The 13,129-nt window shown below is 45.5% G+C and overlaps 9 annotated features.

The window, feature by feature from the left end:
• Positions 9,645-10,144: an enhancer, noted in NCBI's record as "H3K4me1 hESC enhancer chr19:44289353-44289852 (GRCh37/hg19 assembly coordinates)". NCBI's record gives its function as "activates a minimal SCP1, AML or CMV promoter by ChIP-STARR-seq in naive H9 embryonic stem cells {active_cell/tissue: H9 hESC(naive)}" and the evidence as "EXISTENCE:reporter gene assay evidence [ECO:0000049][PMID:30033119]".
• Positions 9,692-10,139: a transcriptional cis regulatory region, noted in NCBI's record as "candidate enhancer chr19.4591 targeted for multiplex CRISPR interference". NCBI's record gives its function as "positively regulates KCNN4 gene expression with high confidence in K562 cells {active_cell/tissue: K562}" and the evidence as "EXISTENCE:mutant phenotype evidence [ECO:0000015][PMID:30612741]".
• Positions 10,145-10,646: an enhancer, noted in NCBI's record as "H3K4me1 hESC enhancer chr19:44288851-44289352 (GRCh37/hg19 assembly coordinates)". NCBI's record gives its function as "activates a minimal SCP1, AML or CMV promoter by ChIP-STARR-seq in primed H9 embryonic stem cells {active_cell/tissue: H9 hESC(primed)}" and the evidence as "EXISTENCE:reporter gene assay evidence [ECO:0000049][PMID:30033119]".
• Positions 10,634-10,928: an enhancer, noted in NCBI's record as "tiled region #14970; K562 Activating DNase unmatched - State 5:Enh". NCBI's record gives its function as "activates a minimal TATA promoter and a strong SV40 promoter by Sharpr-MPRA in K562 cells {active_cell/tissue: K562}" and the evidence as "EXISTENCE:reporter gene assay evidence [ECO:0000049][PMID:27701403]".
• Positions 10,634-10,928: a silencer, noted in NCBI's record as "tiled region #14970; HepG2 Repressive non-DNase unmatched - State 10:DNaseD". NCBI's record gives its function as "weakly represses a minimal TATA promoter and a strong SV40 promoter by Sharpr-MPRA in HepG2 cells {active_cell/tissue: HepG2}" and the evidence as "EXISTENCE:reporter gene assay evidence [ECO:0000049][PMID:27701403]".
• Positions 12,140-12,606: a transcriptional cis regulatory region, noted in NCBI's record as "candidate enhancer chr19.4589 targeted for multiplex CRISPR interference". NCBI's record gives its function as "positively regulates KCNN4 gene expression with high confidence in K562 cells {active_cell/tissue: K562}" and the evidence as "EXISTENCE:mutant phenotype evidence [ECO:0000015][PMID:30612741]".
• Positions 12,140-12,633: a biological region, named in NCBI's record as "CRISPRi-validated cis-regulatory element chr19.4589". NCBI's record gives its function as "regulatory_interactions: KCNN4".
• Positions 12,274-12,443: an enhancer, noted in NCBI's record as "active region_14742". NCBI's record gives its function as "activates an Ori minimal core promoter by ATAC-STARR-seq in GM12878 lymphoblastoid cells {active_cell/tissue: GM12878}" and the evidence as "EXISTENCE:reporter gene assay evidence [ECO:0000049][PMID:35858748]".
• Positions 12,584-12,633: an enhancer, noted in NCBI's record as "active region_14741". NCBI's record gives its function as "activates an Ori minimal core promoter by ATAC-STARR-seq in GM12878 lymphoblastoid cells {active_cell/tissue: GM12878}" and the evidence as "EXISTENCE:reporter gene assay evidence [ECO:0000049][PMID:35858748]".

Raw genomic sequence — 13,129 nt, 5'->3', positions numbered from 1 at the left:
GCTAATTTTTGTATTTTTCATAGAGATGGGGCCCCCACTATGCTGCCCAGGCTAGTCTCAAACTCCTGGGCTCAAGCAGTCCTCCTGCCTCAGTCTCCCAATGTGCTGAGATTACAGGTGTGAGTCACCATGCCCAGCCAGATTTTGGATTTTATTGCAAATGTGGTCTGAAGTTGGGATGGCCAGTTTGATGTGTCAGCTTACCTATGTGACAGTTCCAGTTATTCAGTCAAACACTAATCAGTGTGTTGATGTGAGGGTATTTCGTAGATGTGATTAAAGTCCATAATCAGTTGACTTTGAGGAAGGGAGATTGTTCTAGACAGTTTGGGTGGGCCTGACTCTATCAGCTGAAAGGCCTTAGGAGCAGAGATGAGGCTTCTCTGAGGAAGAAAAAAACTGCACCTATGGACAGCTGCTTCAGCCCATGCCTGAGATTCCAGCTTGCTCTTTCTGACCTGCCTAGCCAGGCCACATAAGCCAATTCTTTGCAATAAATCTTATATTATAGATTGTCTACTGGTTCTGTTTCTGTGGTTAATCCAAGACTAACACAGAATGTGTTGGAGCCAGCGTGGTGGCTCATGCCTGTAATCCCAGCACTTTGTGAGGCTGGGTTGGGCGGATCACCTGAGGTCAGGAGTTCAAGACTAGCCTGGCCAACATGGTGAAATCCCGTCTCTACTGAAAATACAAAAATTAGCCGGGCATGCACCTGTAGTCCCAGCTACTTGGGAGGCTGAGGCAGGAGAATCACTTGAACCCAGGAGGCAAAAGTTGCAGTGAGCTGAGATCATGCCATTGCATTGAAGCCTGGGCAACACACAGAGACTCTGTCTCAAAAAAACAAAAAAAAGAATGCGTTGGAGAAGTAGAAGGCTGCCATAATCATATATAAGGGTGTATGTGTGTGTGTGTATGTGTGTATATATATGTTGTATGTGTATATAATTATATGCACATATAATTACATGTAATATATGATATAACATTTTCATTGAGGTATAAAATATATACAATAAAATGCATAAATTGCAATTTTTCCATATGTACATACCTGAATAACCTCCACCTAGGTCAAGATGTAGAATATTTCCAGCCCATGTCCCCAGAGCCTCCCTCATAGCCCTTCAGAGTCAGTTTCCCACCCCAAGGATAACCATGACTCCAACTTCTATCACAGATCAATTTTGCTTATTTTTAAACTTCATATGAATGGAATCCTACAGCATGTGCTCTTGTGTACATGCTTTACATTTTAAAAGCTTCCCTGTGGCAAGAATGGAAGCTAGACCTGTGAGGTGGCTACTGCCCCAGTCTAGGCAGAGATGATATACCTAGGCAAGAGATGATGGCAGAGGTAGTGCAAGGAGTTGGAAAATGAATAGATTTTTTAAAAATTTAGCTTCTCCTTAACAGGCTGCAAGGAATAGGTTTTATTAGTGGAGAAGACAGGACCTGCTGATATATTGGTTGAGGAGTACTTGAGATGACTCCTAGGTTTCAGCCTGAGGAACAGGGTAAATAGGTTTCAGCCTGAGGAATGGGGAAAAAAGGAATCGCTCAGCTTCATAGTAATCTTTCTTCTTCTTCTTCTTCTTTCTTATACAGAGTCTTGCTCTTTCACCCAGGCTGGAGTGCATTGGCACGATCTCGGTTCACTGCAAACTCCGCCTCCCAGGTTCAAGCAATTTTCCTGCCACAGCTTCCTGAGTAGCTGGGATTACAGGCATGAGCCACCGCGTCTAGCTAATTTTTTGTGTGTGTTTTTAGTAGAGACGGGGTTTCACCATGTTGGCCAGGCTGGTCTCAAACTCCTGACCTCAAGTGATCCACCTGCCTCAGCCTCCCAAAGTGCTGGGATTACAGGCGTGAGCCATCACACCTGGCCAGCTTCTTTATAATCTTATGGTGCCACAGTGATGATAAAGGCAGTCCGTCGTTGGCCAAGGGGTTGTTAGGCAGTGTATGACTGTACTTCTGAGATAGAAGATTATCCCTGAGGCATGGTGGCCAAGGACTCCTGTGAGATGAAATACATGAGCAATTGGCAGTTCTTTGTCATGAGAATGATTCAAAAACTTCTAAAAGCTTATACTTGACAGCTCTCACTAAGTAGAACAGGGGTGCACCGACTGCCTTAGAACTCATAGTATGGGGGGTCCAAGTGAAACTGTGGACTCGGCTATGTAGCTGCTTGGGTATTGCGACCCAGATGCCTTCCTGAGTGCTTAGCAGAGAGGGAGATGCCTTTCAAAAGTAATTATGGTTTTGGACCATAAATTTCATTTTATTTATTTATTTTTTAGACAGAGTCTCACTCTGCTGCCCAGGCTAGAGTGCTGGAGTGGCACGATCTCGGCTCACTGCAACCTCCACCTCCTGGGTTCAAGCAACTCTCCTGTCCCAGCCTCCTGAGTAGCTGGGACTGTACAGATGCATGCCACCACATCCGGGTAATTTTTGTATTTTTAATAGTGACAGGGGCCAGGGGGAGGGGGAGCTTTCACCATATTGGTCAAGCTGGTCTCAAATTCCTGACCTCAGGTGATCCACCCTCCTTGGCCTCCCAAAGTGCTGGGATTACAGGCGTGAGCCACCACGCCCAGCTCGGACCATGAATTCTAAATCATTATAACTAGGCTCACACACATCTTTATTAATCAAAATAGGAACCATTACAATCAACACATTTTTGCCAATGAGAAATAAGTTTGTTGATTCCTGTAGTATAAAAATATGTGCTTCAGGATTCAACAAACTCTGCTTTATGACCCATTTTGAACTCAAATAAGAAATAAGAAAGTCGCTCTAATGTGCTTTTTGTCTAATATCATTTCCAGAGTCTAAAATAAACATAAAATAAACATCAAGTAATAAGTCATTAGCAGAAAAACATAAAGCAAGAAATGCCCATTACAAGGATGTATAACAGGCCAGGTATGGTGGCTCACAACTGTAATCCCAGCACTTTGGGAGGTCAAGGTGGGCAGATCACTTGAGGCCAGGAGTTTGAGACAAGCCTGGCCAGCATGGTGAAACGCTGTCCCTACTAAAAATACAAAAATTAGCCAGGCATGGTGGTGCACACCTATAATCCCAGCTACTCAGGAGGCTGAGGCAGGAGAATCGCCTGAACCTGGGAGGCGGAGGTTGCAGTGAGCCTAGATCGTGCCACTGCTCTCCAGCCTGGGTGACAGAGTGAGACTCTGTCTCAAAAAAAAAAAAAAAAGATGTGTAACATAACCACATTTATTTAAGAATGTATTCCAATATCAAATGGCAAATTCCAACAATGCAAAAATCGCAATTACTTTTGCACTCACCTAATAAAAGCTTCACCTGCTGGAAACAGTGGCTCACACCTGTAATCCCAGCAATTTTGGAGGCAGAGGCAGAAGGATTGCTTTAGCCCAGGAGTGCGAGACTAGCCTGGGCAATGTAGCAAGACCCCGTCTCTCTAAACAATTTAATTAAAAGTAAAATAGGCTGGGCACAGTGGCTCACGCCTGTAATCCCAGCACTTTGGGAGGCCGAGGCGGGCGGATCACGAGGTCAGGAGATCAAGACCATCCTGGCTAACATGGTGAAACTCTGTCTCTACTAAAAATACAAAAAATTAGCCAGGCGTGGTGGCAGGTGCCTGTAGTCCCAGCTACATGGGAGGCTGAGGCAGGAGAATGGTGTGAACCTGGAAGGCAGAGCTTGCAGGGAGCCGAGATTGCGCCACTGCACTCCAGCCTGGGCGACAGAGTGAGACTCCATCTCAAAAAAAGAAAAAAAAGTAAAATAAAAGGCTTCATTTATTAGCAAGGATGTGGAGCTACTGGGATTCTCACATCCAAGTAGTATGTGTGTAAAATAGAACAACCACTTTGAAAAACTATTTTTCAGTACCTACCTGTGTTTAAAGTGTGAGGAAAGCCAGAAGCAGTGGCTCACTCCTGTAATCCCCGCACTTTGGGAGGCCAAGGTAGAAGGAACACTTGAGCCCAGGACTTTGAAACCAACCTGGGCAACATGGTGAGACCTTATCTCTACAAAAAACTAAAAATATTAGTGGGGCATGATGGTGCATGCCTGTGGTCTCACCTACTAGAGAGGCTGAGGTGGGAGGATTGCTTGAGCCCAGGTATTTGAGGTTGCAGTGAGCTATGATCGCTCCATTGCACTCCAGCCTGGGCAACAGAGTAAGACACTGTCTCTATTTTTTTTTAAGTGAAGAAGATGTGAATGAAGATGTGGCAGTGCCCCTGAAGGGCTTACAATGTCAAATAGGGATAACATTTTCTGAACTTTCTCCTACAGCCAATGGGGATACATGGACTGATATAGAGAAGGGGCGAGGCATGGTCAAAGCCAGGTGATATGAGGCTCTCCCTGTGGCCATGCAGGAGACAGGCCCGAGGGAGTGAGATTGGAGGCAGGGAGACCAGGGAGGTGGATGGTGAGAGGGCCTCTCATGCTGCCTGGTTTCCAGAGTCAAGGGCAATTTAGGATTAAAAGGCTGGAGGCAGAAGGAGGAACTGAGAAACCAGAGTGTGAGTGTTATGGTCTACGAGGAGTTAAAGTCCCTTCTAAGTGAGGGTAGTGGTTTCCTCTGGAGGTTGGGGGTTCCCGATCATAAAGGAGCACATAAGGAGATTCTAGGGAATGCAAATACTTTCTCTTGGTGTGCCTTTGATTTTATGGAGGTTCACAATACATCATTTGTCCAAAATGTACCACTATGTTTTATGCACTTTTGGCATATAAGGTATATTTTATTTATTTATTTGTTTTTGTTGTTTTTATTTTTTGAGACAGAGTCTCGCTCTGTCGCCCAGGCTGGAGTGCAGTGGCACAATCTTGGCTCACTGCAAGCTCCGCCTCCTGGGTTTACGCCATTCTCCTGCCTCAGCCTCCCGAGTAGCTGGGACTATAGGCGCCCACCACCATGCCCGGCTAATTTTTTTTTTGTATTTTTAGTAGAGACGGGGTTTCACCGTGTTAGCCAGGGTGTTCTCGATCTCCTGACCTCATGATCTACCTGCCTCGGCCTCCCAAAGTGCTAGGATTACAGGCTTGAGCCACCGCGCCAGACCTATTTTTTTTTTAATGTCAAAAGCAAAGACATGGCTAGAGCTCAGGTCTTTGGACATCCATATTAGAGCTTTTTAATCTTTGGTGATAGGGATTCAGAATACTGGTTATCTCTGGTGTATCAGTTGGGAGGGTTACAAGAGAGCCTCTTGTGGTGATGGAGATAGCTTGATAGAGATGGTGGTCACACATGTCTGTATACAGGTTTAACTGAATTAATCCATACACTTAAGATCTGCGGACTTGCAATGTGTAAGTCTGTCTTAGGTCAGTCCTGGTGGCTCACGCCTGTAATCCCAGCACTTTGGGAGGTCGAGGTAGGAAAATTGCTTGAAGCCAGGAGTTCAGGACCAGCCTGGCCAACATAGAGAGACCCTGTCTTTACTAAAAATTTTAAAAGTAACTAGGTGCAGTGGTGTGCGCCTGTAGTCCCAGCTACCTGGAAGGCTGATGCAGGAGGATCTCTTGGGGGCAGGAGGTCGAGGCTGCAGTGAGCTATGATTGGGCCGCTGCACTCAGCCTGGGTGACAGAGTGAGACCCTGCCTCTAAAAAGAAAAAGAAAACAATTTTAAATGCCACATATGATTAAATGGTATTACCTCTAGGTTTTACACTGAAATAACATAGGAAGTGAGGAAGTAAATGGAAGCACAGATGAAATGCAATTGACCACGAATTGGTATTTGTTAAATAGATACATGGAGATTTATTATACTCTTCTGTTCACTTCTATATGTTTGAAGTTCTCGATAATAAATATATATGTACACATATATGAATATGTATGTATATATGAAAAGGTAGATAATAGATAGAACTAATACCTATTTAACTCACAGTGACCCATACACCCACTTGGGAACCCAGACATCTCTCTTCTTCTGGTAATGCAGATAATGATTATTTAATGTCTGGATTTTACATACAACCTTGCCCCTTCCCAAGATTCCCCCACCCTCCCAAGCTTAAGCGGAAGTGGAAGTCCAGGTCAGCACCAAGGACAGATCCACAGTATTGGGTCTCAGAACCACAGACAGCAACTCAACTAACGGAGGACAAAAGACAGGGAAATGAAGAAATGCCATCTTGAACAGTGTGGAACAGGACAAGAGGCTAGAGTCAAAAAACGCCTATCAGTATCATTGAACAAGAGCATTCCTTCAACAAATATTCATTGAGCATCTGCTATGTGCCAGGCACTGTTCTGAACACAGGATGGCCAGGTTCCTGTCCTTAAACAATGAGACAGATAAAATGAGATCATTTTATATAGTCATAAGTTCTATGATAAAATATAAAGCAGTGAAATAAGATGTAGGATGATTGAGGGAGATGGAAGAGACCGTTTTTGAAGAGGTGGTTAAGGCAGAGATTATATTTGAGCAGAGTGGCTGGATACTGTGGCTCATGCCTGTAATCTCAGTACTTCAGGAGGCTGAGGAAGGAGGATTATTTCAGTCCAGGAGTTCAAGACCAGCCTGGGAAACATAGGAAGACTCCTTTTCTAGCAATTTTTTTTTAATTTGCTAGGCATGGTGGCTTGTACCTGTAGTCCCAGCTACTTAGGAGGCTGATGCAGGATAATCACTTGAGCCTGGGAGGTTGAGGCTGCAGTGAGCTATGATTGTGCCACTCTACTCCAGCCTGGGTGACAGAGCAAGACCTTGTCTCAAAAAAATTTAATAAAATAGGAAACAAAAATTATATATAAATATATATGAATATATAAATAATATAAATTTATATAAATTTATAAATATAAATAACATAAACATAAATATAAATATAAATATAATGATATATATTTATAATATAAATATATATTTTATAATGTAAATAATATGAATATAATTATATGTTTATAATAATAGAAATATAAATAAGTATTTATAATAATAGAAATATAAAGAAATATTTATAATATTATAAATATAAATATTTATAATATTATAAATATAAATATTTATAATATTATAAATATAAATATTTATAATATTATAAATATAAATATTTATAATAATATAAATATAAACAAATGTTTATGATAATATAAATTTATATATATTATATAAATTATAATTATTTATTAGATATTATATATAAATTATATATAATATATAAATATAATATATAATATATTTATATATTATATGATTATATATTTATATATTATTGATATATGTATTATTTTTATTATATGTTATATGATATTATATATTGTATACTATTATAATATATATAATAATTCATATATATATTTGAGCAGAGAACTGAATGAAGTGAGGGAATGCCCCATGAAGAGAGTGGAGGTGCAAGCATTCAGGAAGAGGGAACAGAAAATGCTAAGACCCAGAGGCAGAAAAAAGCTTGGTATGTTTGAGAATCAGCAACAAGGCCAATGTGATAAAGCAAAGTAAATGCAAAGGAAAGTGATGGGAGGAGTTTCGCCAAGATAGGAATAGACACACAGAAAGAAAGCAATAGAGAAAGACAGACAAGAAAATTGAGACCCAAGCTGAGACTGACCAAGAAAGGCTCATAGGCAAAAAAATTAGGAGCAAAATGATGCTAGCTGCAGTGTATGGAGTGCAATTTGCATTATACATTTTATTATTTTATTATCTATTCACATATACATACATATGCATATACTTTTTTTTTTTTAGTTGAAGTCTCACTCTGTCACCCAGGCTGGAGTGCAATGGCACGATCTTGGCTCATTGCAACTTCTGCCTCCCAGGTTCAAGTGATTCTCATGCCTCAGCCTCCTGAGTAGCTGGGATTACAGGTGCCCACCACCACGCCTGGCTAATTTTTTTTGTATTTTTAGTAGAGATGAGGTTTCGCCATGCTGGCCAGGCTGGACTTGAACTCCTGGCCTTAAGTGATCTGCCTGCCTCAGCCTCCCAAAGTGCTGGAATTACAGGCGTGAGCCACCATGCCTGGCCCATATATATATATTTTTTATTATGGAAAACTTCAAACATGCAGATATGAACATAAGGGTATAATAATCTACTTTTTATTGTGTAACAACCCGCTCCAAAAGTTAGTGTCTTAAAATAAACAATCTCATGATTGAGGCTTGACTGGGCATTTCTGCTGGTCTCTCCTGAAGTCATTCACATGGTTGCATTCTGTTAGGACAGGACTGGGGCTTTAGCCAAGATAGCTTCATTCTCCCTGCATGGCCTCTCCATGTGACTAGCTTGGGCTTCCTTACAGCATGGTGGTCTTCTAGTTCTAAGGGTACAAAAGCAGAAGCTTCTAGTTTCCTTAACATCTGGACCTGGAACTGGTTCAGTGTCATATTTGCCACATTCTATTAGTCAAAGCAAGTCATGAGCCAGATAGACTGAAGGAGAAGGAACATACTGTTCCTTTTCGTGGGAGAAGCCACCTGCCAGTGCAGGGAAGGGAGGAGTCACTGGCAGGCAACTTGGGAGACAATGTATCACAAGACTTTAACATAGACCAGGCCTGCTGTTAGGGCTCCAGACATTCTCTCTCACCTAAGCCTCAAGCAGCCCTGTCACATAGGAAACATAATCCCTCTTTTACAAGTTTCACAGAGCACACAACTATGGATGGCAACTAGGTTTGAACTCAGGTTTGTCTCTAAACCAGGCTGTACGTATAACATATTCCATACAAAAATAAAGTTAGGCCGGGGGTGGTGTCTCATCCCTCTAATCTCAGCCCTTTGGGAGGCTGAGGCAGGTGGATCATCTGAGGTCAGAAGTTCAAGATCAGCCTGGCTAGCATGGTGAAACCCCGTCTCTACTAAAAATACCAAAATTAGCCTGGTGTGGTGGTGCATGCCTGTAGTACCAGCTACTTGGGAGTCTGAGGCAGGAGAATCGCTTGCATCCAGGAGGTGGAGGTTGCAGTGAGCCAAGATCGTGCCACTGCACTCCAGCCTGGGTGACAGAGCGAGACTCTGTCTTGAATGAATGAATGAATGAATGAATAAAGTCAGTGGTCACATCGAGGCTTAAACCGAGGTCTCTAGACTTCCATATTGTGAGATATAGATATCTGTATATCATATACATCTGTATACACTATACATCTGTATACTATGCCATATACTATACTACATATCTGCATATACTATATATAGAGTGTGGGTGTATGTCTCTGTGTAATAACATAATATACATACATTTTTAACTGGCGGGGAACACAGAGATACAAAGAAGAAAATAAAAGCAGAAATGAAGAAAAAAGGAGAAAGGAGAAAAGCATGCACTTGGAGACTAAGACCAGGAGATAGAAACAGAGAAGCAAGACAAGGCGCAGTGGCTCACACTTGTAATTCCAGCACCTTAGGAGGACGAGGCAGGAGGATGGCTTGAGACCAGGAGTTCGCGACCAGCCTGGCAACATAGTGGGAACTGATTTTATGACCAAAAAAATGTTTTTTAATTAAAAAGAGAGAGAGAGAAGAAAGAAAGAAAGAAAAGAAAAAAGAAAGAGAGAGAGAAAGAAGAAAGAAAGAAAAAGAGAAAGAAAGAAAAAACAAGGACAATGATATACAGAGAGAAAAATGAAGACTGAGAGCAAAGAAGAGACTGAGATTGATGGAATCACGAGGTCTCCCTCCTTTAGCCTGGAAACTCCACAAGAGCAAGAATTTTGTCCATTTTTGTTCATTACATATCGCCAACTCCTTGAGCAGTGCCTGGCACTCAGTAGGTGTTTTGCTCTATGTTGGCAAGAAACCAGGCTGGACAGGGAGAGTGTCTGCAGTTGCCTAAGTGAACACTAGGTGACAGTATTTATAAGCCCTGGAGCTTCCAGGCTCCAAGGTCCCAGAGATGGCGGTGGAGGATTTGCCGCCACTGACCTCTGACTTTCAGGATCTCTTCCTCGGGGCTCAGCCCTGCCTTTCCCTGCACAAGCCTTGGGCGATGAATGACCTTTCCGCCTGAGACACCCTCTTCACTCTCCTTCACCAGCCTGCCCAGTTAAACAACTCTTTGTCCCTGGCCCCTTCCTGCTGGGCCCCGAGGCACCTGGGTTCTTTCCAGGCCCGGAGATGGGGCTGCGACAGAGGTGGTGCAGCTGGGACAAGGCCAAGGAAAAATCCTGGAGACTCTGGAATCAGTTCTTCCAGTGTATGAGACCCAGCCCCTCCTCCCTCAGACCCAGGGGTCCAGACCCCAGCACCTCCTCCCTCAGACCAGCAGTCCAGGCCCCAGCCCTCCTCCCTCAGACTCAGGAGTCCAGACCCCAGATCCTCCTCCTTCAGACCCAGGAGTCCAGGCCTCAGCCCCTCCTCCCTCAGACCTAGGAGTCCAGATCCAGCCCCTCCTCTCTCAGACCAGCAGTCTAGACCCCAGCCCCCCTCCTCCCTCAGAACCAGGAGTCCAGACCCCCTGCCCCTCCTCTCTCAGACCAGCAGTCCAGACCCCATCCCCTCCTTCCTCAGACCCAGGAGTCCAGACCCCAGCCCCTCCTCCCTCAGACCCCCTCCTCCCTCAGAACCAGGAGTCCAGACCCCCAGCTTCTTCCTCCTGGACCCTTCCTCTTAGGCATTTTGAGGTCCTCTACTATTCCCTCTCCCTCTCTTTTACACAAACCCCTCTCTCCCTCCACTCCCCATTCTAGGATTGAGACCAAGGGTGAGTCACAAGAAGCCCTGAGGCCCTGAGTCACCTCGCCCTCCCCCCTTGGCCCCTCCCTGGGCTGGAGGCAGCTGGCTGAGGAGTGAAGCAGTTTCCTAGGACTGACCCCTGCATCCCAGGACTGCAGTTTGAAGGCAGGTGCCCTTCCCACTGTAACCCCATCACTGCCACCCAGGCATGTCCATGCCCATCCTTTGCTGTTTTTCTCTTTCAGTCATGGCCTATTTGGAGACAAAATTTCTCTGTGCTCTAACTTCCGTGTCTTGATTGTGTTTTCCGGTTTCTCTGCACCTGTGGGTCTCTTTGATTTTTTTTAATACATGCCCCCACCATCCCTGGCTGAATGCCTCGAGGTCTCTCTGATTATCTCTCTCTCCCTCTGTGTCAGTCTCTGTCTCCGTTTTTCACAAGTGCCTGAACTGGGGCACAGATGCCATGGCATGGCCGCAGCTGGAGCGCTATTTAGTGGCTTCTGACCCTTGGGTGGCCACAGTCTCTGGATCACTGGCCCTCAACCCCTGAGTGGGACTGGGGTAGAACCGGAAGGAACCAGGCTGTCCGTAGATGTGCCAGTGAACAGCAGAGAGAAACTGAGGCAGAGACAAGCATAGAGAGGCCCGGAGAGAGAGAGAGAGACCCAAGAGGAGACCAGGAGGCAGGGAGAGAGTGAAACAGAGACGGAGAGAAACACCGATTCAGCAAGAGACAGACAAAAACAGAGGGCCCTAGAGACGGAGAGATGGAGACAGAGTGAGACACGATGACAGAGACACAGGCAATGATGAACACAGAGAGAGACATGACAGAGAGACAGTGACGGGGAAAGAAGGAAACAGAGGAGCAGAGAGGGACACGAAGATGGAGAAAGGGACAGAGCGATGAGAGAGACACAGAGAGGCTAAGAGAGGCAGAGACAGAGAGACAGAGTGAAGAGAGACAGAGAGAGACAAAGGTACCAGGAGAGAAGAACAGAGACAGAGATAAAGACAAACCTGGCCAGGCACGGTGGCTTACGCCTGTAATCCCAGAACTTTGGGAGGCCGAGGCGGGTGGATCACCTGAGGTCAGAAGTTCACGACCAGCCTGGCCAACATGGTGAAACCTCGTCTCTACTAAAAATACGAAAATTAGCTGGGTGTGGTGGTGCACACCTGTAATATCAGCTACTCGGGAGGTTGAGGTAGGAGAATTGCTTGAACCTGGGAGGTGGAGGTTGCAGTGAGCCGAGATCGTGCCACTGCACTCCAGCCATGGGAGACAGAGCAAGACTCTATCTCAAAAAAAAAAAAAAAAAAAAAAAAGACAAACGCGGAGGTTTCCAGATCAGGAGAGACTGAGACAGGAAGCAAGTCCCAAAGAACCAGAGAAAGAGCCGGAGAGGGAGGAGAGAGACGCAGCGAGCCGGGCGGCCAGTGGGCAGGGGTGCCCAGGCTGCAGGCTCAGGAGTGCCCGGCGGCTGCACTTTCCCCAAGTGGACGCATGTGTGGTGTCTGGGCGCGCCCGGGTGTGTCTCCAGCCCTCTCCCGCCAAGTCTCGCCGAGTGGGTAATTGTGTGTGCCGAGGGGCGGAGCCCCCGCAAGGGTTGTGTTTTTGCCACTGGGCGTGTCCATGTGTATGGTTTGGTGTCTCTGGGTGTGTTTGTGTGGGCTGCCTTGGTGTGCAGTCAGACATGTCTGTGCGTGTCTCGCTTCCCTGGGGCTGGTGGGTCCAGGGTCCCACACGACCTAGGACACAAGGAGGGGGAGGGTTGTGTCCGCAGGTTCCTTGCAGAGGGGTGTGCATGAGGCCAAGGGCAGTGTCACCAGTTCAGTGCATGATGCTGGGAGGTGATGTGCGTCACCAGGTCAGTGCATGCCTGTGTGTCTCCACAGGAGGGTTTGATCTGTGTCGGAGCGTATGGTGTACAGATCCATGAGTGGCTCGTGCTGCGACACATGGAGATGTCCTATGTTGTGTGTTGCTCTGAGAGTCACCGTGCACATTCCACACTGGCATTTGCTGTATCTCACGTCAGGGTCCATGTCCCTGTTGGGGGCCTCTTCCTTCTCAGCCCCCAGCACCCACCCTGAGTGCCAACCACCCCAAGTGTCTTGTGTTTGTGTAGCTGTGTGTTATGTTGTGTCAGAGGATACACCCCCCTCCCCCGATGCTGGTGTTGTGTGGGTGGCGGTAGACCTCAGTGTCAGTAGTATCAGTGAGTGGTGACATCTGGTGTTTTATGGGACATGTGGTCGTTTGTGGAAGGTTGGGTGTGTTGGAAAACATTGTGTTTATGTGTTTTGCGTTACTGTGTGCTGGTGTATTACTCCGCGTATGTTGTTGTGTGGCCACGCATGTTGGAATATAACGTGTTGGGTTGTGTGGAGGTATTGTATGTCATGTTTGGGTGTGGCTCATGGCTCAGAGGTGATGGTGT

Source organism: Homo sapiens, chromosome 19, assembly GCF_000001405.40.
Source record: "Homo sapiens chromosome 19, GRCh38.p14 Primary Assembly".
Classification (NCBI taxonomy): Eukaryota; Metazoa; Chordata; class Mammalia; order Primates; family Hominidae; genus Homo; species Homo sapiens.
Note: the sequence above shows the minus strand (reverse complement) of the source record. Positions and strands in the feature narration are given on the sequence as shown.